The 27,428-nt window shown below is 42.9% G+C and overlaps 1 protein-coding gene and 1 pseudogene across 3 annotated transcripts in view; one reads left to right on the top strand and one right to left on the bottom strand.

The window, feature by feature from the left end:
* The window catches only part of NBPF20 (NBPF member 20), a 135,704-nt gene that overhangs the window by 13,865 nt on the left and 94,411 nt on the right, over positions 1-27,428 (top strand). The window contains exons 1-22 of one of the 3 annotated variants that reach the window (NM_001278267.1): positions 5,961-6,057; positions 6,432-6,641; positions 8,421-8,523; positions 9,358-9,572; positions 10,608-10,680; positions 11,145-11,350; positions 12,639-12,690; positions 16,598-16,761; positions 17,804-17,878; positions 18,005-18,017; positions 18,493-18,665; positions 19,385-19,436; positions 20,037-20,209; positions 20,919-20,970; positions 21,623-21,795; positions 22,510-22,618; positions 23,249-23,421; positions 24,141-24,192; positions 24,793-24,965; positions 25,675-25,726; positions 26,373-26,545; positions 27,260-27,368. In NM_001278267.1, coding sequence (NP_001265196.1) covers positions 18,010-18,017; positions 18,493-18,665; positions 19,385-19,436; positions 20,037-20,209; positions 20,919-20,970; positions 21,623-21,795; positions 22,510-22,618; positions 23,249-23,421; positions 24,141-24,192; positions 24,793-24,965; positions 25,675-25,726; positions 26,373-26,545; positions 27,260-27,368 — 1,472 coding nt within the window. In that variant the 5' untranslated portion in view covers positions 5,961-6,057; positions 6,432-6,641; positions 8,421-8,523; ... (5 more) ...; positions 17,804-17,878; positions 18,005-18,009. Of the gene's footprint in view, positions 1-5,960; positions 6,058-6,174; positions 6,330-6,431; positions 6,642-8,420; positions 8,524-9,357; positions 9,573-10,607; positions 10,681-11,144; positions 11,351-12,638; positions 12,691-16,597; positions 16,762-17,803; positions 17,879-18,004; positions 18,018-18,492; positions 18,666-19,384; positions 19,437-20,036; positions 20,210-20,918; positions 20,971-21,622; positions 21,796-22,509; positions 22,619-23,248; positions 23,422-24,140; positions 24,193-24,792; positions 24,966-25,674; positions 25,727-26,372; positions 26,546-27,259; positions 27,369-27,428 lie in introns of those variants that run through there. The other 2 variants (NM_001397211.1, XM_047446015.1) reach the window with 2 other exon arrangements.
* Positions 3,323-4,104, bottom strand: PFN1P3 (profilin 1 pseudogene 3; annotated as a pseudogene).

The following is a 27,428-nucleotide window of genomic DNA, read 5'->3' as shown; positions in this document are numbered from 1 at the left end:
ATTTAAAGTAACATCTAAATACATGTTGTGTTTATAAATAAATTCAACAGACTGGGCACCGTGGCTCACACCTGTAATCTCAGCACTTTGGGAGGCCGAGGTGGGCAGATCATGAGGTCAGGAGATGGAGACCATCATGCCTAACACAGTGAAACCCCATCTCTACTAAAAATACAAAAAATTAGCTAGGCATGGTGGCATGTGCCTGTAGTCCAGCTACTTGGGAGGCTGAGGCAGGAGGATCACTTGAACCTGGGAGGCAGAGGTTACAGTGAGCCGAGATCGCATCACTGCACTCCAGCCTGGGTAACAGAGCAAGACTCTGTCTCAAAAAAAAAAAAAAAAAAAAAAGGAAAGTCAACAAAATTTATGTAAGGCCAGTAGGCCAGTACACCAAAAACTACAAAAAATTGCTTTGAGAAATTATGAAAGAACTAAATTAGTGGGGAGATAAACCTTGTCATGGATCAGAAGAGTTGTTATGTTTAAAAAGTCAGTTCTTCGTAAATTGATCTCCAGATCCAATGCAATTCTAATAAAAATTCCAACCGGCATTTTGGTAGAAATTTACAAGCTGATTCTACCATTTATATGGTAATGTCAATGATCAAGAATAATAAAATAGCAATATTATAAAAGAATAATGGTGAATGAATTCACTACCTATTTCCAGAATTACTCTACAGCTATGAAAATCAAGATTATGTGTTTTGTTGAAAAAAAAATGGAATATATATCAGTGGAAGAGAAGAGAGAATCCAGAAATAGATACTCACATGTATGTCTAATTGATTCTTAGGACATATATATATGTATACACACACACACACACAAACGTGTGTGTGTGTGTGTATACATATATATATTCACCGTTTTGAAGATTATTATCTCCAAATAGGGAATATATATATATATATATATACGTATATATATACATATACGTATATATATGTGTGTGTATATATATATATACGTATATATATATATGTATATATATATACACAGACAGGCACACACACACACACACACACACACACATATATATATATTGCAGTCTGATAAGATAAACAGCACATTGAAACAATTTCTCAAAAGACTTAGATACTTCAGAAAAGAAGATACATGGGGCCGGGCGCGGTGGCTCACGCCTGTAATCCCAGCACTTTGGGAGGCCGAGGCGGGCGGATCACGAGGTCAGGAGATCGAGACCATCCCGGCTAAAACGGTGAAACCCCGTCTCTACTAAAACTACAAAAAATAGCCGGGCGTAGTGGCGGGCGCCTGTAGTCCTAGCTACTTGGGAGGCTGAGGCAGGAGAATGGCGTGAACCCGGGAGGCGGAGCTTGCAGTGAGCCGAGATCCCGCCACTGCACTCCAGCCTGGGCGACAGAGCGAGACTCCGTCTCAAAAAAAAAAAAAAAGAAGATACATGAATGGTCAATTAGCATAGGAAAAGATGCTCCACTGTTTAGTCATCAGGGAGATCAATCAGTGCAACAATGAGATACCAGTACATATCCATAAGAATGGCTAAAATTAAAAAGGCTGAAAATAGCACCTGTTGGTGAGGATATAAAGCACTTGGAAGTCTTATACTTGTAGGAATGAAAAATGGTATGGCTCCTTTGAAAATCTAACAGTTTCTTAAAGGTTAAACGTAACACAAATCAGATAGACAGTCATTCCATTCCTAGGAATTTACACACTGTGTCTGCACAATGATCTGTATGTGTGTTTCCAGACCAACCTGAGGGGCGGGATGCTGTTTCTCGTGGCTCCGTAACGAGACACAGATGAACTGGGGAGGAAGAGAGTTTTGACTTCTGCAACTGGTTACAGGGAAACGGCCTGGAAATTATCACCAGACCAACTCAAAATTGGAAAGTTTTCCTGAGCTAATGTACCTTCTAAGCTATATGTGTATGTGGAAGTGTGCATTCATCTAAATACATAAATGATTAACTTCTTTTAATCTATAAGTCTGAGTCCTGAAGACCTTCCTCTGGAACCTCAGTTAAATTCAGTTAATCTAAATGGGTCTAGGTGCTGGGGGCCCTTATCTTGTCTCCTGCTAAATCACAGAGGTTTGGAGAGTCCCTTCAGATCTCCAATAAACTTGTTTGTGGAGGCCTGGGGAGTTTCTTCAGACCCCCAATAAAACTCGTTTAATACTAAATGGCTCCTGTTAAGAATGCCTTCGTTATTTCGTCATGCTTTAAGGCCCAGGAAAAACCTAGGCAAAACTCTTGGTGGGCTTTTGTTACATTCCAGCCTTTGTATAAGGGCACTGGCTTCTTTTTTTTTTTTCCTCTTAATATTTAATTGAACCACTCAGTCGGTACTGAAACAGTTGTTAGGGAGGCCTGTGTTAGTGAGACCTGGCCTGCCACGTATGGATGCTCATGATAGTTTCTTCATAATAGCCCAAACGCGGAATGATAGAAATGTCCAATAATAAGTGAAAGTACAAACATACATGGTATAGCCACACGAAGGAATACTACTCAGTATTTACGAGACATTACAGATGGATTTTAAAATTACATTGATGCATGAAAGAAGGCAGACACAAAAGAACACAGGTATCATTTCATTTATAGAAAATGGTTAAAAATGCAAACGGACCTGAAGTGACAGTGGCTCCTTGGGGCTGAGGGTTGAAAGGCTGATGAACTGCAAAGGGGTACAAGAAACTTTGGGGCATAGGGAATTTCCTCTATCTTGGTTGTGGCAGTAGTTCCGTTAGTGTATCCATTTGTAAACGTGCATTGAATTACACATTTTAAAGTGGTGCAGTCTGTTGTACCGAAATTATGCCTTTATAAAGTTGATTTCATCATCTTAATTTCTCCATACTAGCAATTAGCAGCTAGAAAATGAAATTCAATAAAACATAATAGAGATTAATAACCAGAATCATTACATGCTTAACAATACATGCAATGAAGCAGGTACGAGGCCCCTAAAAGCAATTGGTGAGAAAAATTAAGGCTAAATAAATATATATCATGTTTATTGATTGGAAGACTCAATTTTGTTAGCATATTACATCAACACAATTCTGATTAATATTTCTAGTAGGAGATTTTAGAGAAATTTGAAAGCTAGTTTCAAAATGTATTTGAAAATCAAAGAACCTAGAATAAGCAAGTCGGTCTTGAAGAAGCAATAAGTTGGAGGACTTACTCTGCTAGATTTCAAACCTGATTTTAAAGCTACAGTAATTTTAAAACAGTAGTAATGGTGTAAGTATTCATAAATATATCAAAGTGAAAGAATACAGATTCAAACAATATGCCCACATATGTACAGTTATTCATTTTTTTTAGTAGAATCTTTTTTATTCATAAGAAATCCATCAAAACAAAAAAGTTTTCCAGCCACACACAGGAGGGGTATGGGTGGGGGAAGGTGTCTGTCCATCTATCCCTGGCCCCCAGCCCATGTGGTTTTGGCAGCAATAAGGTGTGTGGGGTAATGACTCCTGAAATTAAAATGGTGTGTGTATGTGAAGGAAAGGCAGGCAAAGCTGTGGGGAGCGGTGGAGTGGAAGGAACAAAGCAGGTCAGTACTGGGAACGCTGAAGGTGGGAGGCCATTTCATAACATTACTTGCTGATGAAATTGCCATGGATACCTTCTTTGCCCATCAGCAGGCCTAGCGTCTTGGCAGTCATGGTGACAATGACGTTGAAGGTGGGGGCTCCACCGATGCTCTTCATACGAAGATCCGTGGTCAATTCCCCATCCTGCAGCAGTGAGTCCAGGACCACAGTATATTTCTGGCCCCCCAGTGTCAGCCCATTCATGACAAAGCTTGACCAGTCTTTGCCAACCAGGACACCAACCTCAGCTGGCGTGATGTTGAGGAAGGTTTTCCCTGGGACGGCGGCCCAGATGGAAGGTGGGTCCTTGTTGCCCACAATGGCCGTGTCCTAACAGGTCCCGTCCGCCACGAGGCTGTAGATGGAGGTGTCCACCTGGCCGTTGCGTTGCTGCAGGGGCTCTTCTGGTCACTGCTGCTGGGGCCGCCTGGGCTGGCGGGTGGGGGAGGCGGAGAGCTCGATGCAGGTGCTGTCCTCCTCGCCACGACTCTGCTAGCTGTGCAGTAGCCCTCGCTCCGCCACTTAAAAAAGAAAAATATATATATATAATATATATATACACGTGTTATATATAGTATATTATGTATATACACGTATTATATATATACACGTATGTATATACACGTATATATATTATATATATTCATGTGTTTGTATATATATTATATATACGTGTATACACGTATATACATGTATACATGTATACGTGTATACATGTATATATGTGTATAATATATATACACGTGTATATATATTATATATATATACGTGTGCCATGTTGGTTTGCTGCACCCATTAACTCGTCATTTACATTAGGTATTTCTCCTAATGCTATCCCTCCCCCAGCCCTCACCCCATGACAGGCCCTGGTGTGTGATGTTCCCCGTCCTGTGTCCAAGTGTTCTCATTGTTCAGTTCCCACCCATGAGTGAGAACATGCTCGCACCGCCGCTTCTAAATGTTTTAAAAACAAAGACACCAATGCCCTTCATTGGGGAAATGAAAGACTTTTAAGTAAAACGATTTTGAGTGAAATAATATTTGTTGTTTTAAAAAGTTAATATTAACCACTCTCCATCATATGTTGAAATTATCTTAAGATGTGAAAGTTAAAATTAGAAACCTTGTAAAGGAAAAATAGGAAATAGTTTCATGAACTTGACACAGGAAAATATTTCTTAGACTAGATACTGTAGCACTCACCACAATAAGAAATCAAGCGAATTGCACTTCATTTTTAAAAAGCTTCTCCTTATTATGTTGTTGTTTAACAACTTAAACGCTATCTCTAGACCAGGAATAATTATTTGCTATATAATACAGCAAAAAATATGTATGTATAAATGGACTCATTCAAAATATATAAAGAACTCCTATTACAAAGAAATTGACAAACAGCCCAGTATATCAATGAATATAAAAATTTGAGAAGATATTTTCCATAAGAAGATATCTAAATGAACATTAGGCATGAGAAAACCAAATTTTATGATATCACTACACACCTGGCATAGTTTAAAAGACTGAAAATATTAAGTGTGTGGGAATGTAGAGCAACTGGAAATGGCCTACATCTTTCATAGAAATGTAAAGCAATACAAATACTTTGCAAAACTCTGTCCAACATTTTCTACCCATTCACCAAGCAACTCCATCCCTAGCTATAGATACCCAGGAAAATAAGTATGTATCTTCACAGAAATAATTGTATGAGAATATTCATAGTTACTTATGCACAGTAGTTATCAAGTAAACCTGTCTCCCATCAGAAAAATGGATATAAAATTGTGTGATAATCATACAATCAATAGGATATTACTTGGCCAAAACAAAATGAAACAAGGGAAAAACACAATCAAACAAATTAGTGGCATATATACCCACCTGAGTAAAGAGAAGTCGGCCGGGCGCGGTGGCTCACGCCTGTAATCCCAGTACTTTGGGAGGCCGAGGCGGCAGATCACGAGGTCAGGAGATCGAGACCATCGTGGCTAACACAGTGAAACCCCGTCTCTACTAAAAATACAAAAAAAAAAAAAAAAAAAAAAATTAGCCGGGCGTGGTGGCGGGTGCCTGTATTCCCAGCTACTTGGGAGTCTGAGGCAGGAGAATAGCGTGAACCTGGGAGGCAGAGCTTGCAGTGAGCCTAGATCGCGTCACTGCACTCCAGCCTGGGCGACAGAGTGAGACTCTGTCTCCAAAAAAAAAAAAAGAAAAAGTCAAAACAAGAGAACATACTAAATGATTCCATTTTTTTATTTATGACTTCATGACTACCATTAAGAAAATATAACCTGTTGGGAAACTGTTTCTGCCTTGATGATGTTGTACAGACAAGAGATAAACAGTGAGGAATATGCTTAGATGTATTGGGAAAGACACGGGTCTGTGGCATTGTCACAAGGGTACACGAATACTGAGAGTGAATGCTGAAGGAATGATCCCCATTGGTGGTGACCCTCAGGTGAGACTAGGGTGCCTGTGTTTCAGCAAAGCCTGGGCAATTGGAATGCAGGGCTCCTAAGATTCCATGACACCCCCACCTTCTAATTCTGTTATTGCAACTGCAGACGGTTACCTGGCACGCTGGCCACAATCTACCTCACTCTTATCAGAGTCTGAGCTACTGGCAGTGCTTTCAGCTCTGAGTTGAGGCACCTTGAACCTTGTTTTTGTGGTGAAGGATCCTAAAGTGCTGTGGGGAGTGATCACATTTTTCACAACAGTAAGGTAAGAATTTCAGTTACTGACATCCCTCAGTCCTGATTAAACCTATTTGATTTCACCAGTTTTTAACCCATCATATGTTTGGGTTTCTTCTCCCCAGTCCCTGACTCCACCTCTTCTGCCACAAACGTCAGCATGGTGGTATCAGCCGGCCCTTGGTCCAGCGAGAAGGCAGAGATGAACATTCTAGAAATCAACGAGAAATTGCGCCCCCAGTTGGCAGAGAACAAACAGCAGTTCGGAAACCTCAAAGAGAGATGTTTTGTAACTCAACTGGCCGGCTTCCTGGCCAACCAGCAGAAGAAATACAGTAAGATCTATAGGCTCACCATCATGAAAGTGATGAATGATGTCCTGTCTTCTGAGACACTAAATGCTCTCTCCATCAAAAATAATTTCATCCTTCTTGTACTTGTAGGAAAACAGAAATGGGTATTTTAACATTTTGTTAGTTGGAAGACAGAGGTACCAAAGTATTTAGCAACTTTCCATGTTTGCAATCAGATGGGGGTGGGACTAGAGTTAAACTGCCATTTATTGATTTCTAACACAGGCACAGAACGACCTGTTTTCTCCAAGAGGCTCAATCATGTTTTCAAGAATCCTCTCTGTACCATATAAGATCCTGCAGACAAATAACATGTAGTCTGTTGTTCTAAATGTCTAGGACTAGTGAACTTTTATTCAGTTCAAGTTTCTGTTGAGGCCCAACAGGCAAAGCTGTGTTCTAGTGACTCTGAGGGAAACTTGGTGATAGTAGCCAGTACCTGCTCTGAGGGGCTTCAAGAGGAGTCTGCTCCTAATAGAACCTGTGCTATCTATAAGTGACAGCATCAAGAGCAGGGAGTAGGGGCCGTGCAACGTGGCTCACTCCTGTAATCTCAGCACTTTGGGAGGCTGAGGCGGGCAGAGCACGAGGTCAGGAGTTTGAGACTAGCCTGGGCAACATGGAGAAACCCCATCTCCACTAAAAATACAAAAAGTAGATGGGCGTCGTGGTGGGCAACTGTAATCACCACTAATCGGGTGGCTGAGGCAGAAGAATCCTTTGAACCCAGCAGGCAGATGTTGCAGTGAGCCAAGATTGCACTATTGCACTCCAGCATGGGTGACAGGGCAAGACTCGTCAAAAAACAAACAAACAAAAAGATAAATAAATCAAAAATAAAAATAAAAAGCAGAGAGTAGCTTGGTGAGAGCGAAGTCCTGTTTCCTGGTGCACAGGCTCTTGTTCCTAAAGAGGAAGAAAGATCACACCCGAGAATGTGTGGAAGCAGCAGTGCAGTGTGCAAAGCAGGGACCCTCAGCCTGTCTCCTGGGCTCCATCCATGTTGCTTGTCTTGTCTGTCCCTCAGTTTCCTCATCTGTTCAGAGGGTACTACAATAATACCTACCTCTGTAAATTGCTGCAGTGAATTACATGAGCTATTTCTTGTCAATCTCCTAGAACATTTATTGGCACACAGTGAACACTATTTATTAGTTCTTCATTCTGCTGTTTCTAAATTAACACAAACTTTATTAACATTTGGGCATATTTCCTTCATGGCCTTAAGGTGTTATGTGTCACACTTTATGCTTCAGATATGATTCTTAAAATCATAACTGAAGATATGATTTAAAAATCAAAGATTTTAAAAATCTTTCACATACTTGTCCTTGAAATTCCCAGTAAAAGGGAAACCATCAGTCCCATAGTCCTAGGGGCCTTCCCGACTGTACAAGAAATCACTACTTCATGCCCCAGTGCAGTGTTTTAGAGGAGAGGCTGCAAGGCTTGGGAAAGTGGCCCCGCATTCAGAGTCAGACCTCACGGACTGTGAATTCTGACTCCACTTCGTTGTGGTTGAATCATCTTGTCAACTTCCTTGATGTGCCCTTGAGGTTCTCTTTCTTCATCTCTAAATTTTGGAGGATCAGATGCCAGAAAGTCAGGAGACTGAAGAGTAAAGATGTGGAAATCCCTGTCTAGACCCTGGTACTGGGGAGAGTTTTGTCCTTGGGATGGACCTGGCTCCTGCCCTGTAGGCAATGACCACAGCAGCATGTCCAGCCTTCCACTGAGGCAGGCGTGTCTGTCTTTTCTCAGAATATGAAGAGTGCAAAGACCTCATAAAATCTATGCTGAGGAATGAGCGACAGTTCAAGGAGGAGAAGCTTGCAGAGCAGCTCAAGCAAGCTGAGGAGCTCAGGTGAGGGGACCCCATGGTGGCAGGCAGGGGGGCAGGTGTGTAAATCTCTGAAATACAGCAGCTCGGTGGGGAGACGTAAGAGCTAAGCTGGGCCAGGGGAAGGGCAGGAATTGCCATGGCAGGCTCGCTACACATAAATATTTATCAAACAGAGAAGAAGGATAATAAAAATGTATGGGTTGCAGTTGTTTCTCAGAGCCTTGTTTTCTCTTTTTCAAACAAGTAATTGTTGATGTGAAATTTACATAACACAAAATTAACCAAAGGAGTGTGAACCACACAGCAGCATTCAGTATACTCAAAATGGTGTGCCATCACCACCCCACTTACCCTTAGTGACAATCACCTCCTGACTGACTGCGGCTTCTCATTCTTTCACTCAATCAATGTTGCCTTCTCGACCCTGTCATTCTTTTCTTCTTTCGTCTTTTCAATTCGCCCCATCTGCACCTGGCCTCATTTCTGTACATAGCTTTGTATCTAGTGGCCGCAAGATGCACTATGTGTATTTTCACATGGAAATGTCCATGGCCAGAGTGAGGAACTGAAAGGATGTCTTTTTGAAACGGAATTAGGAAGACACCTACTTTTGTTTACAGAAGGGAAAGATGAATGGAACATCATCGAGGATCTTGCAAGAGCCCTCTCTGATACAGAGGAAGCCTGTAAACCATTTTCTATTCTTTCTCTTGGCCACAGACATTCCTTTAAACATGTGCTGACCTTCTGCTTCGAGGTCTCCTTGAGGACATTATCTCAGAAATCTCTGTTGCAATATTTGAGCGGATCACTGAACCTTTCCACTCTTAAATTTTCTCTACCGTCTCACCTTAGGCAATATAAAGTCCTGGTTCACGCTCAGGAACGAGAGCTGACCCAGTTAAGGGAGAAGTTGCGGGAAGGGAGAGATGCCTCCCGCTCATTGAATGAGCATCTCCAGGCCCTCCTTACTCCGGATGAGCCGGACAAGTCCCAGGGGCAGGACCTCCAAGAACAGCTGGCTGAGGGGTGTAGACTGGCACAGCACCTTGTCCAAAAGCTCAGCCCAGGTAAGGTGGCCATAGGCCCTGATGACCCAAAATCCCAGGCTTATGAGAGACTCCAGACCTCCATACTTTCACAATGACAGTTGTATCAATGGTGTTTTTTTCCACTAAGCTTATGTGGCCATGACATGACCAGGACTTCTTGGGTAAGAACGGAGATGGGAAACCCATGGGGTTGGAGGTCACAGTATTGCAAGTGTCCCTCCTCCCTTGATGGAAGGTGGTCTTTGGAGCAAGAGGCAGCATCTGTCTAGTTTTAAAGGACAGGAAGGAGGCTGCGATGGGAGCAGGCTTGTTAGAGTGAAAGAGCACTAAGAATGAAGGTTCCCAGGCTGTCTTTTCGGCAATATTCTTAGTAACTGTCAGAGAGTGAATGACTTGTCCTTCCTGAGTTTCTCTCTCTCCGTGGCAGACAAATTGTCTCTTGCAAGGGTCTGAAGCATTCAAATGTGGGAACACTTACAACTGCTTTCCAAAATGAGATGAAGGCCCTCGCCGTGTGATGTTGGAGAAGGCACTTTATGTGGGGGCGTTTTGTGGTAGGAAGTGCTTCAGACTGGAGCACTCCCCATGGATAGAATGTCCCTGAAGAACACAGCAGAAGCCACTTGGAGGCTTGAAATCTTCTGATGCATAGAGGACTGTGGGACAAGTTTGTCTGCTTCTAAGAGAAAGAATGAGGTTTGAAATGCAAACCGTGACAGGACACCAAGCCTGTGCCTGGGAATCAGATCTGGCAGGATGGGGGAGACAGCTGCCAACGTCCAGAGAGAGGCTGCACAAGCCTCCAGTGATATGGGAAGCAAAAGGTCTTTTCAATATTTGGCCACATCTTGATGGTGGCCCTCCAGATCAGAAATGCATTGCCTGATGGATCAGGAAACCATGCCAGGGCATTCTGTTAAAGATAAAACATGAGAGTTTTCAGTTGAACGGTGACCCATGCCTAGATGTTCATGTCTCTGTTGCACATTGGGCTGACTGTGCTTGCAGACTGTGAAGTGGGAAATATCTGAACGAACACTTCTGTATTTACAGAAAATGACAACGATGACGATGAAGATGTTCAAGTTGAGTTGGCTGAGAAAGTGCAGAAATCGTCTGCCCCCAGGTAACACTGAATACTCAGGAACAATTAATGGATGGTAACATATGAGGAATATCTAGGAGGCACACCCTCTCTGGCATCTATGATCGGCCAAAAACCCACATTTGCTTGGCCACAGTATGTGAAATATAACCCAGCTTAGACACAGGGTGCGGCAGCTGTCATGTTTCTCTGTGTGTGCCGAGTGTCACGTCTGCACCGTACAGGGATAGCTGAGTCTTCATCCTCCTCAGCTCCTATCTGTCCAGTGCAATGAACAGCAGCTGCTCTCTTCCTCTCTGGTTCCCATGGCAGCCATGCTCTGTTGCAGAGAGAACAGGATTGCATGTTCCCCCTTAATGGGAACCTCCATTTTGCTTTCTGGGACCACTCTCTTAATGCCGCCTGTCAAAACCAGCTAGGACTCCCTGGGGTCCAATCCCTCTGTGTTTAATCTTCTGTCATCTCTGTCCCACCTGGCTCATCAGGGAGATGCAGAAGGCTGAAGAAAAGGAAGTCCCTGAGGACTCACAGGAGGAATGTGCCATCACTTATTCAAATAGCCATGGCCCTTATGACTCCAACCAGCCACATAGGAAAACCAAAATCACATTTGAGGAAGACAAAGTCGACTCAACTCTGATTGGCTCATCCTCTCATGTTGAATGGGAGGATGCTGTACACATTATTCCAGGTAGCCTCTGTTTTCCTTGTGTCTCATACCTCTCTCTAGGCTGAGGAAGATAAACTCTGAAGACAGGCTCTATAAACACAAATTCATTTGAATAAAAAACTGTGATGGGTTTCTAAACAGATATCAGGGACTTTTTTTGTCCTTCTCAGCTAATGTCATGACTTTGTCTGCCAGTCCCCAGTATCAAGTTACTCAACCCCAGGCAAGTGTGACAATCTCATAGTCACCTGAGTGCAGGAGGTGCACAGGCAGTATCTGTCAGGCCTACTAGCTTCGATTCAGTATCTCTTGTCATCTGTGATTAAGTCCTCTGTCCCTGAACAATGTCCATGGAATTTCTATGCCTGTTTAAGGAAGCTGGCAGCCTTGCCTTTGTATTTGGAAATATTGTTCCCCCGGCTTCACTGCTCTCAGCTTTCATCTGGATCTCCTTTAAGTCAGCTTGCTTAGCTGCACAGTCACCCTGAAATCAGGACAGAAACTTTTCTTCTTTACTTTGCTGATATATTTCCATAAAGCAAGGCTGGACCCTGGTTCTCCACCCTGTCAATGCAATGGCTGATCCAATGTTTCTTTGTAGCATCGTGGATTTTTTTTTTTTTTTTTTTTTTTGTGATGGAGTCTTGCTCTGTCACCCAGGCTGGAGTGCAGTGGCACCATCTTGGCTTGGTGCAACCTCTGCCTCCCAGATTCAAGTGATTCTCCTGCCTCAGCCTCCTGAGTTGCTGGGACCACAGGTGCACAACATCACATCTGGCTAATTTTTGTATTTTTAGTAGAGACAGGGTTTCCCCATATTGGCCAGGGTAGTCCTGAACTCATGACCTCAAATGATTCACCTGTCTTGGCCTCCCAAATCACAGATTCTTTTTAAAGCAAGAGTTGTTCAAATTTATCTATCAGTCGTGTTTCATGTATAGATGCCTCTAAACATTTAATGTCCATGTTACCTGGTGATATAAGTCCGTATCGCAGCAGCACTCTTAGAAAATTGTTTGACCAATTTTTGGAGATTTTTTTGGGGAAAAAATTTTGTTTAACTTTGACTCAGGCAGGGAATATGGCATTATGGTCTACACGTAGAGGGAGATTTTGGCCTGTGGGTCTGGAAAGCAGGGTTATCTAATTCTCACCAAAGTTAATCTAGGACACCCTAGAATATTCCTGTCAGAATCCTTATTCTTGCACTGAGAATAGTTATGTCCTTGTGCTATGACTGGACAGTGATTTGTTCATATGTGAAGTATGAATTGCTTAATGTGACCTGCTTCTCTGAATTTATTTACAGAAAATGAAAGTGATGATGAGGAAGAGGAAGAAAAAGGGCCAGTGTCTCCCAGGTAATGTTGTGGAATTGTTGGCTGTTAATTCAGTAGTGACATCTGGAGATTGTAGATTTAGGGAAAATGAGGAAGTGATGAATAGAACTATTTCTTCCATTCACCCAGCTACAAATTGTGCTGATTTACAATGTTGTATGTTATTTGTAGCACTTGTATTGGTTTTAATTTCATAGTCCTCTCAAGATAGGAACTTGCCATCAGATGAGCCAGGTGAACTAGCCAAACAGGGTTTTCTTGTTGATCTTTTCAAAAAACCAGCCCTGGATTCATTGATCTTTTGAAGGGTTTTTTGTGTCTCTATCTCCTTTAGTTCTGCTCTGATCTTAGTTACTTCTTGTCTTCTGCTAGCTTTTGAATTTGTTTGCTTTGCTTCTCTAGTTATTTTAATTGTGATGTTAGGGTGTCAATTTTAGATCTTTTCTGCTTTCTCTTGTGGGCATTTAGTGCTATAATTTTCCCTCTACACATTGCTTTAAATGTGTCCCAGAGATTCTGATATGTTGTGTCTTTGTTCTCATTGGTTTCAAAGAACATCTTTATTTCTGCCTTCATTTTGTTATTTTCCCAGTAGTCATTCAGGAGCAGGTTGTTGAGTTTCCATGTAGTTGTGCGGTTTTGAGTGAGTTTCTTAATCCTGAGTTCTAATTTGATTGCACTGTGGTCTGACAGTTTGTTGTGATTTCCATTCTTTTACATTTGCTGACGAGTGCTTTACCTCCAACTATGTGGTCAATTTTGGAATAAGTGTGATGTGGTGCTGAGAAGAATGTATATTCTGTGGATTTGGGGTGGAGAGTTCTGTAGATGTCTTTTAGGTCTGCTTGGTGGAGAGCTGAGTTCAAGTCCTGGATATCCTTGTTAAGCTTCTGTCTCATTGATCTGTCTAATATTGACAGTGGGGTGTTAAAGTCTCCCATGATGATTGTGTGGAGTCTAAATCTCTTTGTAGGTCTCTCAGGACTTGCTTTATGAATCTGGGTGCTCCTGTATACGGTGCATATATGTTTAGGATAGTTAACTCTTGTTGAATTGATCCCTTTACCATTATGTAGTGGCCTTCTTTGTCTCTTTTGATCTTGGTTGGTTTAAAGTCTGTTTTATCAGAGACTAGGATTGCAACCCCTGCCTTTTTTTGTTTTCCATTTGCTTGGTAGATCTTCCTCCATCCCTTTAGTTTGAGCCTATGTGTGTCTCTGCATGTGAGATGGGTTTCCTGAGTACAGCACACTGATGGGACTTGACTCTTTATCCAATTTGCCATTCTGTGTTTTTTAACTGGGGCATTTAGCCCATTTACATTTAAGGTTAATATTGTTATGTGTGAATTTGATCCTGTCGTTATGATATTAGCTGGTTATTTCGCCCATTAGTTGATGCAGTTTCTTCCTAGCGTCAATGGTCTTTACAGTTTGGCATGTTTTTGTAGTGGCTGGTACCGGTTGTTCCTTTCCATGTTTACTGCTTCCTTTAGGAGCTCTTGTAAGGCAGGCCTGGTGGTGACAAAATCTCTCAGCATTTGCTTCTCTGTAAAGGATTTATTTCTCCTTCACTTATGAAGCTTTGTTTGGCTGGATATGAAATTCTGGGTTGAAAATTCTTTTCTTTAAGAATGTTGAAGATGCTGGAGAGGATGTGGAGAAATAGGAACACTTTTACACTGTTGGTGGGACTGTAAACTAGTTCAACGATTGTGGAAGGCAGTGTGACAATTCCTCAGGGATCTAGAACTAGAAATACCATTTGACCCAGCCATCCCATTACTGGGTGTGTACCCAAATGATTATAAATCATGCTGCTGTAAAGACACATGCACACATATGTTTATTGTGGCACTATTCACAATAGCAAAGACTTGGAACCAAGCCAAATATCCAGCAATGATAGACTGGATTAAGAAAATGTGGCACATATACACCATGGAATACTATGCAGCTATAAAAAATGATGAGTTCATGTCCTTTGTAGGGGCATGGATGAAGCTGGAAACCATCATTCTCAGCAAACTATTGCAAGGACAAAAAACCAAATACCGCATGTTCTTACTCACAGGTGGGAATTGAACAATGAGAACACATGGACACAGAAAGGGGAACATCACACACTGGGGCCTGTTGTAGGGTGGGGGGAGGGAGGAGGGGTAGCATTAGGAGATATACCTAATGTTAAATGATGAGTTAATGGGTGAAGCACACCAATGTGGACATGTATACATATGTAACTAACCTGCACGTTGTGCACATGTACCCTAAGACTTAAAGTATTATATATATCTGTATATATATATATATATACATACACACAAAAAATAATAAAGGAAAACTATACATATGGAAAAAAAAAAGAATGTTGAATATTGCTCCCACTCTCTTCTGGCTTGTAGGGTTTGTGCCAAGAGATCTGCTGCTAGTCTGATGGGCTTCCCTTTGTGGGTAATCCGACCTTTCTCTCTGGCTGCCCTTAGCATTTTTTCCTTCATTTCAACCTTGGTGAATCTGACAATTAAGTGTTTTGGGGTTGCTCTTCTCGAGGAGTATCTTTATGGTGTTCTCTGTGTTTCCTGAATTTGAATGTTGGCCTTCCTTGCTAGGTTGGGGAAGTCCTCCTGGATAATATCCTGAAGAATGTTTCCCAGCTTGGTTCCATTCTCCCCGTCACTTTCAGTACACCAATCAAATGTAGATTTGGTCTTTCCACATAGTCCCATATTTATTGGAGGCTTGTTCATTTCTTTTTACTCTTTTTTCTCTAAACTTCTCTTCTCGCTTCATTTCACTAATTTGATCTTGAATCACTGATACCATTTCTTGCACTTGATCGAATTGGCTACTGAAGCTTGTGCATGCATCACGTAGTTCTCGTGCCATGGTTTTCAGCTCCATCAGGTCATTTAAGGTCTTCTCTACACTGTTCATTCTGGTTAGCCATTCGTCTAATCTTTTTTCAAGGTTTTTAGCTTCCTTGCGATGAGTTCGCACATCCTCCTTTAGCTCAGAGAAGTTTGTTATTACCGACTTTCTGAAGCCTACTTCTGTCAGCTCATCAAAGTCATTCTCCATCCTGCTTTGTTCCATTGCTGGCGAGGAGCTGCGATCCTTTGGAGGAGAAGGGATGTCAGGTTTTTGGAATTTTCAGCTTTTGTGCTCTGGTTTCTCCCCACCTTTGTGGTTTTATCTACCCTTGGTCTTTGATGATGGTGACCTACAGATGGGGTTTTGGGGTGGATGTCTTTTTTGTTGATGTTGATGTTATTCCTTTCTGTGTGTTAGTTTTCCTTCTAACAGTCAGGTCCCTCAGCTTCAGGTCTGTTGGAGTTTGCTGGAAGTCCACTCCAGACCCTCAAACAGGGATTTCTTGGTGTTGCCTATTCTCTCCGATGTGTTTAAATCCAGGGAGAGGTGTATACATGCTTTTTTCCTATTTGTTGGTAGTATGTTGGCTAGTATTTTTGCAAGAAAAGAAATTGAAAAAGTAAATATATTATATCAAAATATTGGGAAAATGGGGCCCTTAATACACAAGATCTGTGTCTGCACTGCGTCAAGAACTCTCTTCACTTGAATGCTGCATGTAAAATTCAACCCAATTTATGCAAAGTAGTTGAAGCCCTGTGTCAGTTCTCTGTGCTGCAAGTCATGATGGTAGTTTACAGGGAGAGTCTGGGTGCCCTGAGTTGGCTCATCTGTGGCAAATGTACTGAGCACATGCTGCCCATTTTTGCTCTGTCCCCAGAGCAGTCACCCTCCACCCTGCATTTAGAAGGATAGTTTTATTTCTCTTGAAGGAAAAATGCCTTTGGTTTCTGTGACCACTCCATTCTGTCTCCCATCAGATCATCTGGGAGGTTTTGTTGTCTAATGTCTGTTGGTTAAATCTTCTATCATCCCTGTCCTGCCTGGCTCATCAGGAATCTGCAGGAGTCTGAAGAGGAGGAAGTCCCCCAGGAGTCCTGGGATGAAGGTTATTCGACTCTCTCAATTCCTCCTGAAATGTTGGCCTCGTACCAGTCTTACAGCAGCACATTTCACTCATTAGAGGAACAGCAAGTCTGCATGGCTGTTGACATAGGCAGTGAGTACTACACTGTGAAGGTGATAAAGCTCCAGTTCATGGCCCAGGTAGACCCCATAATCTTTGGGCCTTGTGCCCCTTGTTGGGCTGAGATTTGCCATCACCGTGGGCTGAACCTATATATCAATGTAGATTTCAATCACTCTGGAGTCGAGTCTGAAGCACAGGCATGGGGTGGGTCAGTGAGCTTTGCTCTCTTCCTAGTCTCAGGCCATGCCCGTGCCAACCTGGACTGATTGTCACGACATTGAACTCAAGGCAGGTGTGGCAAACTCACACCAAACTATGCAGCACATGCCCAGGAGTTGTCTGTCAGCTCAGCTCATCTGAATTAAATGTCTCTTGCCAGCTACAAAATTCCTTATGAGTTTTGTTCCCAAAGCATGTCTGTGTGGTTCTTTACCCGCCCAAGGCCAGTGTCACCCTTGTCTACCTCTCAGTGAAAGATGTGACCCAGGTTTCACTGAATTTATTCCCATTTTCTGTGTCTTCTAAGTTCGCTTGTTTTAGCTCATCTGTCCATCATGTTCCTGGTATGTTTTCTAGATAAATGGCTGACTTTTCACCCACAAAAGCCATAATAGCTGATGCTTCTGTGTAGAACCAAGTTTCATTTTGACTCAAGAGCTGGTACATTGCACCCCTTCATCAAATCTCTGTGTCCACAATCTCATAAACTATCAAATTCTGGGTATTTGATGAGAGAAAGCTTAATATTGAAGTGTCTCTCCTATGAGGTGTTAGAACTATTTGCCTACAATTTATTGGGGAAAAAATTTCTCATTTGTGTACAGAAGCCTAGGACAGAGCACATAGGGAAGATAACATTCCAACACAGGGGAATTTTGCCCAAGGCTCATGAAAGAACCCAAGCCAGTTTTCTCAAGACTTGACCTCAGGCCTACTGGAATATTTCTCTCAAAGTCTCCTGTTCTCACACTGACAAGACTGATGTCCCTGTGTTAGGATTGGACAGAGGAATGTTTCTGTGTGCAAGGAAGAACTGCTTAATGTAAGAGGGCCCATCTGAATTTATTTGCAGGACATCGGTGGGATCAAGTGAAAAAGGAGGACCAAGAGGCAACAGGTCCCAGGTGAGTCTGAGAAATTGTGGAGAGTTAATTTGATGTTGACACCTGGAGATGCCAAGTCCAGGGAAAACAGTACATGCTGAAAATAATGATTTTGTCTTGTCAGACAAGTCTGAATTATGCCTACTACATTGCTTTCTGGTTCTCATTAGAGTACATGTTTAGGTTTCCATTTCTTCCTACCCTTATCATTTACTAACCTAGTGAAAGTTGACCATAACTCAAAAGCTGTATTCTCATGGTAACTGCAGGGAAACTTGAGCACATTTTATGCAAAATTATTGAGGACATGCTTTTCATGATCACTGTTCACAGTGTGTCCTGAGAGCACAAATACAGAGTGTCCTTTGACTCCCTCATCAGTGTGTCACCTGACCAATTCACTGAGCTCGCTCTGTGTGTGTGTGTGTGTGTGTGTGTGTGTGTGTTTGTGTGTGTGTGTGAGTGTGTGTCTCTCTCTTTCATCCTTTTCTACCTGGCCCTAGTCTATCCCAACATAAAGGCAATAATTTCTTACCTCATTAATGGATCTGTCCTTTTTCTTTTCAAACTCTTCCTTACGTTAGCCATGAAATCTAGCTGGGGCTGTGTGGTTTCTGATTCCCCCTGGCTTATTCTTTACTTTTTCCCACTTTTCCAGGCTCAGCAGGGAGCTGCTGGATGAGAAAGGGCCTGAAGTCTTGCAGGACTCACTGGATAGATGTTATTCAACTCCTTCAGGTTGTCTTGAACTGACTGACTCATGCCAGCCCTACAGAAGTGCCTTTTACGTATTGGAGCAACAGCGTATTGGCTTGGCTGTTGACATGGATGGTGAGTACCTTTCTATGAAGGTGATAAGGATCCACTGAGTCTTCTGGTTAGGGTCATATTCCTACTGCAAGTGGCCCTTACTGAGCTGAGAGATGTCATTGCCACAGGGAGGTCCTATAGGCACATGTAGGTTGAATGAAACTCTAGTTCCACTTGGAAGCCCAGACAAGGGATGGGTCAGTGAGCAAGGCTCTCTTCCTAGTCTCAGGCCATGCCTGTGGTGCCCTAATCCTACTCTCATGACGTTCGACCTGGGCAGATGTGACAAATTCACACAACTCTGATTTTGTCTCAATTTTGTAGATCTTGTAGATTTCATCCTTCACTCTAATTTCAGCGTCTAAAATCCTCGCTACCATGAACAATCTGAGTATTTGATGAGACAGGGCTGAATAGTGCAGTTTTTCTCCTAGCAACCATTTGGGGGCATTTGCTTTAAATCGATTGGAAAAATATGGCATAACCATTTGCACAAACTTGGGACAAATGATATTGGGATAACGATCTACCAGAATAGGGAATTTTACCCACAGTTTCTGGGACAAAAACCAAGGAATCTCTATGGTGATCAGCCTTCAGGCCTCCTGAAGACTATCTCTCACAGTGTCCTATTCTCATGCTGAGGAGCCTGAAGTCCCTGTGTGAGGATTAGACAGTGGATTGTTATGTGTGTAGGAGAACCAGCTTAATATGTCTGTCCATGTCTGAACTTATTGCAGAAATTGAAAAGTACCAAGAAGTGGAAGAAGACCAAGACCCATCATGCCCCAGGTAACTTTGAGCAATTATGGATGCTTAATTCTGTGTTGACACCTGGAGATGCCAGGTCCAGGGAAAACAAGAGTGTGTTCAATTTCATGTTTTCAACGAAGGTTGAATTACTCCTCCTGACATTGCTGTTGGTTTTCATTGCAGTAGATGTTTAGGTTTCCATTTCTTCCTCCCCTTATCATTTACTAACTTACTATAGGTTGACCATACCTCAAAGGCTGTATGGCAACTGCATGGAATCTTGAGCAAGTTTATGGAAAATTATTGAGCCCACTCTTTTCATAATCACTGTTCGCTGTGTGTCCCGAGGGCACTAACTCAGAGTGTCCTTTGACCCCTTCATCAGTGTGTCACCCGGCCAACTCGCTGAGCTCACTTTCTCCTCTCTCTCTCTCTCTCTCCCTCTCCCTGTCTTTCTCTTTCATTCTTTTCTACCTGGCCCTGGTCTATCCCAACATAAAGGCAATAATTCATTACCTCATTAATGGATCTGTCCTTTTTCTTTTTAAACAGTTCCTTATGTTAGCCATGAAATCTAGCTGGGGCTGTGTGGTTTCTGATTCCCCCTGGCTTATTCTTTACTTTTTCCTACTTTTCCAGGCTCAGCAGGGAGCTGCTGGATGAGAAAGAGCCTGAAGTCTTGCAGGACTCACTGGATAGATGTTATTCGACTCCTTCAGGTTATCTTGAACTGCCTGACTTAGGCCAGCCCTACAGCAGTGCTGTTTACTCATTGGAGGAACAGTACCTTGGCTTGGCTCTTGACGTGGACAGTGAGTACCTTACTGTGAAGGTGATAAGCCTCCACCTGGTCTTCCAGATAGGGGTGATATTCCTGTTCCAAGTGGCCCTTACTGACCCGAGAGATGTCATTGCCGCAGGCAGGACCTATGGGCGCATATAGGTTGTAATGAAACTGTAGTCTCAGTTGGAAGCCTAGACATGAAATGGGTCAGTGAGCAAGGCTCTATTCCTAGTCTCCAGCCATGCCTGTGGCAAGCTGAGCCCGCTCTCAGCACATTGGACCCAGGCAGATGTAAAAAATTCACAGAAGTATGATTTGGACTGAAGGGTTTGTAGATTTCCTCCTTCATTCTAATTTCAGTGTCTAAAATTCTTGCATCCATGAACGAGCTGGGCATTTGATGAGACAGGGCTGAATACTGCAGTTTTCCTCCTAGAAATCATCTGGGGCATTTTCTTTGAACTGATGGGAACAATAAGGCATAACTGTTTGCACAAACTTGGGATAAATGATTTTGGGATAACGATCTACCAGAATGGGGATATTTCACCCTTGGTTCTGAGATGCAAACCAAAGAATATCATGACCAGCTTTCAGGCCTCCTGAAGTATCTCTCTCACATTGTCCTGTTCTCATGCTGAGGAGCCTGAGATCCCTGTGTGGGGATTAGACAGTGGACTGTTATGGGTGTAGGTGAATTGGCTTATTTTGTCTGTCCCTGTCTGAATGTATTGCAGGAACTAAAAAGGACCAAGAAGAGGAAGAAGACCAAGGCCCACCATGCCCCAGGTAACTGAGCAATTGTGAACAGCTACTTCTGTGTTGACATCTGGAGACTCCTGGTTCAGGGAAAACAGAGCGGGCTGACATTATCGATTACATCTTTTCCAGCAAGCCTGAATTATTCCTACTAACATTGCTGTTGGTTTTCATTGCAGTAGATATTTAGGTTTCCATTTCTTCCTCCCCTTATCATTTACTAACCTACTGTAGGTGGACCAGACTTCAAAAACTGTATTCTCATGGCGACTGCATGGAAACTTGAGCACATTTTATGGAAAATTATTGAGCACAGTCTTTTCATGATCCCTGTATGCTGTGTGTCCTGAGGGCACTAACTCAGAGTGTCCTGTTACTCCCTCATCAGTGTGTCACCTGGACAATTCACTGAGCTCGTTCTCTCTCTGTGTGTGTGTGTGTCTGTGTGTGTGTCTGTGTGTGTGTGTGTGTGTGTGTGTGTGTGTCTATCTGTCTTTCTCTTTCATTCTTTTCCATTTGGCCCTGTTCTGTCCCAACATGAAGGCAATAATTTGTTACCTCATTAATGGATCTATCCTTTTAGTTTTTTAACCACTTCCCTATGCTACCCATGAAACCTAGTTGGGGCTCTGTTGTGTCTGATTTCCCCTGGCTTATTCTTTACTTTTTCCTCCTTTTCCAGGCTCAGCAGGGAGCTGCTGGAGGTAGTAGAGCCTGAAGTCTTGCAGGACTCACTGGATAGATGTTATTCAACTCCTTCCAGTTGTCTTGAACAGCCTGACTCCTGCCAGCCCTATGGAAGTTCCTTTTATGCATTGGAGGAAAAACATGTTGGCTTTTCTCTTGACGTGGGAGGTGAGTACCTTTCTATGAAGGTGATAAGGATCCACTGAGTCTTCCATATAAAGATCATATTCCTGCTCCAAGTGGCCATTACTGAGCTGAGAGATGTCATTGCCACAGGGAGGACCTATAGGCACATGTAGGTTGAATGAAACTCTAGTTCTACCTGGAAGCCCAGGCAAGGGATGGGTCAGTGAGCAAGACTCTCTTCCTAGTCTCAGGCCATACCTGTGGCGCCCTGATCCTATCCTCATGACATTGGACCTGGGCAGATGTGACAAATTCAGAGAACTATGATTTTGACTCAAGGGTTTGTAGATTTCCTTTTTCACTCTAATTTCAGTGTCTAAAGTCCTCACAACCATGAACAATCTGAGTATTTGATGAGACAGGGCTAAATATTGCAGTTTTTCTCCTAGAAATCATTTGAGGGTATTTGCTTTAAGTTGATTGGAAAAATATGGCATAACTGTTTGCACAAACTTGGGACAAATGATATTGGGATAACGATCTACTAGAATAGGGACATTTTACCCACAGTTTCTGGGAGAAAAACCGAGGAATTTCTATCATGACCAGCCTTCAGGCCTCCTGAAATATATCTCTCACGGTGTCCTATTCTTATGCTGAGGAGCCTGAGGTCCCTGTGTGAGGATTAGACAGTGGATTGTTATGTGTGTAGGGGAATCAGCTTAATGTGTCTGTCCATGTCTGAATTTATTGCAGAAATTGAAAAGAAGGGGAAGGGGAAGAAAAGAAGGGGAAGAAGATCAAAGAAGGAAAGAAGAAGGGGAAGAAAAGAAGGGGAAGAAGATCAAAACCCACCATGCCCCAGGTGACTTTCAGCAATTGTGGATGCTTAATTCTCTGTTAACACCTGGAGGCAACAGATTCAGGGAAACCAGAGTGTGTTTGATGTCATGTTTTCAACGAAGGCTGAATTACTCCTACTGTCATTGCTGTTGGTTTTCATTGCAGTAGATGTTTAGGTTTCCATTTCTTCCTCCCCTTATCATTTCCTAACGTACCATAGGTTGACCATACTTCAAAAGCTGTACTCTCATGGCCACTGCATCGAATTTTGAGCATATTTTATGGAAAACTATTGAGCTCACTCTTTTCATGATCACAGTTTGCTGTGTGTCATGAGGGCACTAACTCAGAGTGTCCTTTTACTCCCTTACCAGTATGTCACCTGGCCAATTCACTAGGTCACTTTCTCTCTGTCTCTGTCTCTGTCTCTCTCTCTCTGTCTCTGTCTCTCTCTCTCTCTCTGTCTTTCTCTTTCATTGTTTTCTACCTGGCCCTGTTCTATCCCAACATAAAGGCAATAATTTGTTACCTCATTAATGGATCTGTCCTTTTTCTTTTCAAACTCTTCCTTACGTTAGCCATGAAATCTAGCTGGGGCTGTGTGGTTTCTGATTCCCCCTGGCTTATTCTTTACTTTTTCCCACTTTTCCAGGCTCAGCAGGGAGCTGCTGGATGAGAAAGGGCCTGAAGTCTTGCAGGACTCACTGGATAGATGTTATTCAACTCCTTCAGGTTGTCTTGAACTGACTGACTCATGCCAGCCCTACAGAAGTGCCTTTTACGTATTGGAGCAACAGCGTGTTGGCTTGGCTGTTGACATGGATGGTGAGTACCTTTCTATGAAGGTGATAAGGATCCACTGAGTCTTCTGGTTAGGGTCATATTCCTACTGCAAGTGGCCCTTACTGAGCTGAGAGATGTCATTGCCACAGGGAGGTCCTATAGGCACATGTAGGTTGAATGAAACTCTAGTTCCACTTGGAAGCCCAGACAAGGGATGGGTCAGTGAGCAAGGCTCTCTTCCTAGTCTCAGGCCATGCCTGTGGCGCCCTAATCCTACTCTCATGACGTTGGACCTGGGCAGATGTGACAAATTCACACAACTCTGATTTTGTCTCAATTTTGTAGATCTTGTAGATTTCATCCTTCACTCTAATTTCAGCGTCTAAAATCCTCGCTACCGTGAACAATCTGAGTATTTGATGAGACAGGGCTGAATAGTGCAGTTTTTCTCCTAGCAACCATTTGGGGGCATTTGCTTTAAATCGATTGGAAAAATATGGCATAACCATTTGCACAAACTTGGGACAAATGATATTGGGATAACGATCTACCAGAATAGGGAATTTTACCCACAGTTTCTGGGACAAAAACCAAGGAATCTCTATCGTGATCAGCCTTCAGGCCTCCTGAAGACTACCTCTCACAGTGTCCTATTCTCATGCTGAGGAGCCTGAAGTCCCTGTGTGAGGATTAGACAGTGGATTGTTATGTGTGTAGGAGAACCAGCTTAATATGTCTGTCCATGTCTGAACTTATTGCAGAAATTGAAAAGTACCAAGAAGTGGAAGAAGACCAAGACCCATCATGCCCCAGGTAACTTTGAGCAATTATGGATGCTTAATTCTGTGTTGACACCTGGAGATGCCAGGTCCAGGGAAAACAAGAGTGTGTTCAATTTCATGTTTTCAACGAAGGTTGAATTACTCCTCCTGACATTGCTGTTGGTTTTCATTGCAGTAGATGTTTAGGTTTCCATTTCTTCCTCCCCTTATCATTTACTAACTTACTATAGGTTGACCATACCTCAAAGGCTGTATGGCAACTGCATGGAATCTTGAGCAAGTTTATGGAAAATTATTGAGCCCACTCTTTTCATGATCACTGTTCGCTGTGTGTCCCGAGGGCACTAACTCAGAGTGTCCTTTGACCCCTTCATCAGTGTGTCACCCGGCCAACTCGCTGAGCTCACTTTCTCCTCTCTCTCTCTCTCTCTCCCTCTCCCTGTCTTTCTCTTTCATTCTTTTCTACCTGGCCCTGGTCTATCCCAACATAAAGGCAATAATTCATTACCTCATTAATGGATCTGTCCTTTTTCTTTTTAAACAGTTCCTTATGTTAGCCATGAAATCTAGCTGGGGCTGTGTGGTTTCTGATTCCCCCTGGCTTATTCTTTACTTTTTCCTACTTTTCCAGGCTCAGCAGGGAGCTGCTGGATGAGAAAGAGCCTGAAGTCTTGCAGGACTCACTGGATAGATGTTATTCGACTCCTTCAGGTTATCTTGAACTGCCTGACTTAGGCCAGCCCTACAGCAGTGCTGTTTACTCATTGGAGGAACAGTACCTTGGCTTGGCTCTTGACGTGGACAGTGAGTACCTTACTGTGAAGGTGATAAGCCTCCACCTGGTCTTCCAGATAGGGGTGATATTCCTGTTCCAAGTGGCCCTTACTGACCCGAGAGATGTCATTGCCGCAGGCAGGACCTATGGGCGCATATAGGTTGTAATGAAACTGTAGTCTCAGTTGGAAGCCTAGACATGAAATGGGTCAGTGAGCAAGGCTCTATTCCTAGTCTCCAGCCATGCCTGTGGCAAGCTGAGCCCGCTCTCAGCACATTGGACCCAGGCAGATGTAAAAAATTCACAGAAGTATGATTTGGACTGAAGGGTTTGTAGATTTCCTCCTTCATTCTAATTTCAGTGTCTAAAATTCTTGCATCCATGAACGAGCTGGGCATTTGATGAGACAGGGCTGAATACTGCAGTTTTCCTCCTAGAAATCATCTGGGGCATTTTCTTTGAACTGATGGGAACAATAAGGCATAACTGTTTGCACAAACTTGGGATAAATGATTTTGGGATAACGATCTACCAGAATGGGGATATTTCACCCTTGGTTCTGAGATGCAAACCAAAGAATATCATGACCAGCTTTCAGGCCTCCTGAAGTATCTCTCTCACATTGTCCTGTTCTCATGCTGAGGAGCCTGAGATCCCTGTGTGGGGATTAGACAGTGGACTGTTATGGGTGTAGGTGAATTGGCTTATTTTGTCTGTCCCTGTCTGAATGTATTGCAGGAACTAAAAAGGACCAAGAAGAGGAAGAAGACCAAGGCCCACCATGCCCCAGGTAACTGAGCAATTGTGAACAGCTACTTCTGTGTTGACATCTGGAGACTCCTGGTTCAGGGAAAACAGAGCGGGCTGACATTATCGATTACATCTTTTCCAGCAAGCCTGAATTATTCCTACTAACATTGCTGTTGGTTTTCATTGCAGTAGATATTTAGGTTTCCATTTCTTCCTCCCCTTATCATTTACTAACCTACTGTAGGTGGACCAGACTTCAAAAACTGTATTCTCATGGCGACTGCATGGAAACTTGAGCACATTTTATGGAAAATTATTGAGCACAGTCTTTTCATGATCCCTGTATGCTGTGTGTCCTGAGGGCACTAACTCAGAGTGTCCTGTTACTCCCTCATCAGTGTGTCACCTGGACAATTCACTGAGCTCGTTCTCTCTCTGTGTGTGTGTGTGTCTGTGTGTGTGTCTGTGTGTGTGTGTGTGTGTGTGTGTCTATCTGTCTTTCTCTTTCATTCTTTTCCATTTGGCCCTGTTCTGTCCCAACATGAAGGCAATAATTTGTTACCTCATTAATGGATCTATCCTTTTAGTTTTTTAACCACTTCCCTATGCTACCCATGAAACCTAGTTGGGGCTCTGTTGTGTCTGATTTCCCCTGGCTTATTCTTTACTTTTTCCTCCTTTTCCAGGCTCAGCAGGGAGCTGCTGGAGGTAGTAGAGCCTGAAGTCTTGCAGGACTCACTGGATAGATGTTATTCAACTCCTTCCAGTTGTCTTGAACAGCCTGACTCCTGCCAGCCCTATGGAAGTTCCTTTTATGCATTGGAGGAAAAACATGTTGGCTTTTCTCTTGACGTGGGAGGTGAGTACCTTTCTATGAAGGTGATAAGGATCCACTGAGTCTTCCATATAAAGATCATATTCCTGCTCCAAGTGGCCATTACTGAGCTGAGAGATGTCATTGCCACAGGGAGGACCTATAGGCACATGTAGGTTGAATGAAACTCTAGTTCTACCTGGAAGCCCAGGCAAGGGATGGGTCAGTGAGCAAGACTCTCTTCCTAGTCTCAGGCCATACCTGTGGCGCCCTGATCCTATCCTCATGACATTGGACCTGGGCAGATGTGACAAATTCAGAGAACTATGATTTTGACTCAAGGGTTTGTAGATTTCCTTTTTCACTCTAATTTCAGTGTCTAAAGTCCTCACAACCATGAACAATCTGAGTATTTGATGAGACAGGGCTAAATATTGCAGTTTTTCTCCTAGAAATCATTTGAGGGTATTTGCTTTAAGTTGATTGGAAAAATATGGCATAACTGTTTGCACAAACTTGGGACAAATGATATTGGGATAACGATCTACTAGAATAGGGACATTTTACCCACAGTTTCTGGGAGAAAAACCGAGGAATTTCTATCATGACCAGCCTTCAGGCCTCCTGAAATATATCTCTCACGGTGTCCTATTCTTATGCTGAGGAGCCTGAGGTCCCTGTGTGAGGATTAGACAGTGGATTGTTATGTGTGTAGGGGAATCAGCTTAATGTGTCTGTCCATGTCTGAATTTATTGCAGAAATTGAAAAGAAGGGGAAGGGGAAGAAAAGAAGGGGAAGAAGATCAAAGAAGGAAAGAAGAAGGGGAAGAAAAGAAGGGGAAGAAGATCAAAACCCACCATGCCCCAGGTGACTTTCAGCAATTGTGGATGCTTAATTCTGTGTTAACACCTGGAGGCAACAGATTCA

Source organism: Homo sapiens, chromosome 1, assembly GCF_000001405.40.
Source record: "Homo sapiens chromosome 1, GRCh38.p14 Primary Assembly".
NCBI classification, from domain to species: Eukaryota; Metazoa; Chordata; class Mammalia; order Primates; family Hominidae; genus Homo; species Homo sapiens.
Note: the sequence above shows the minus strand (reverse complement) of the source record. Positions and strands in the feature narration are given on the sequence as shown.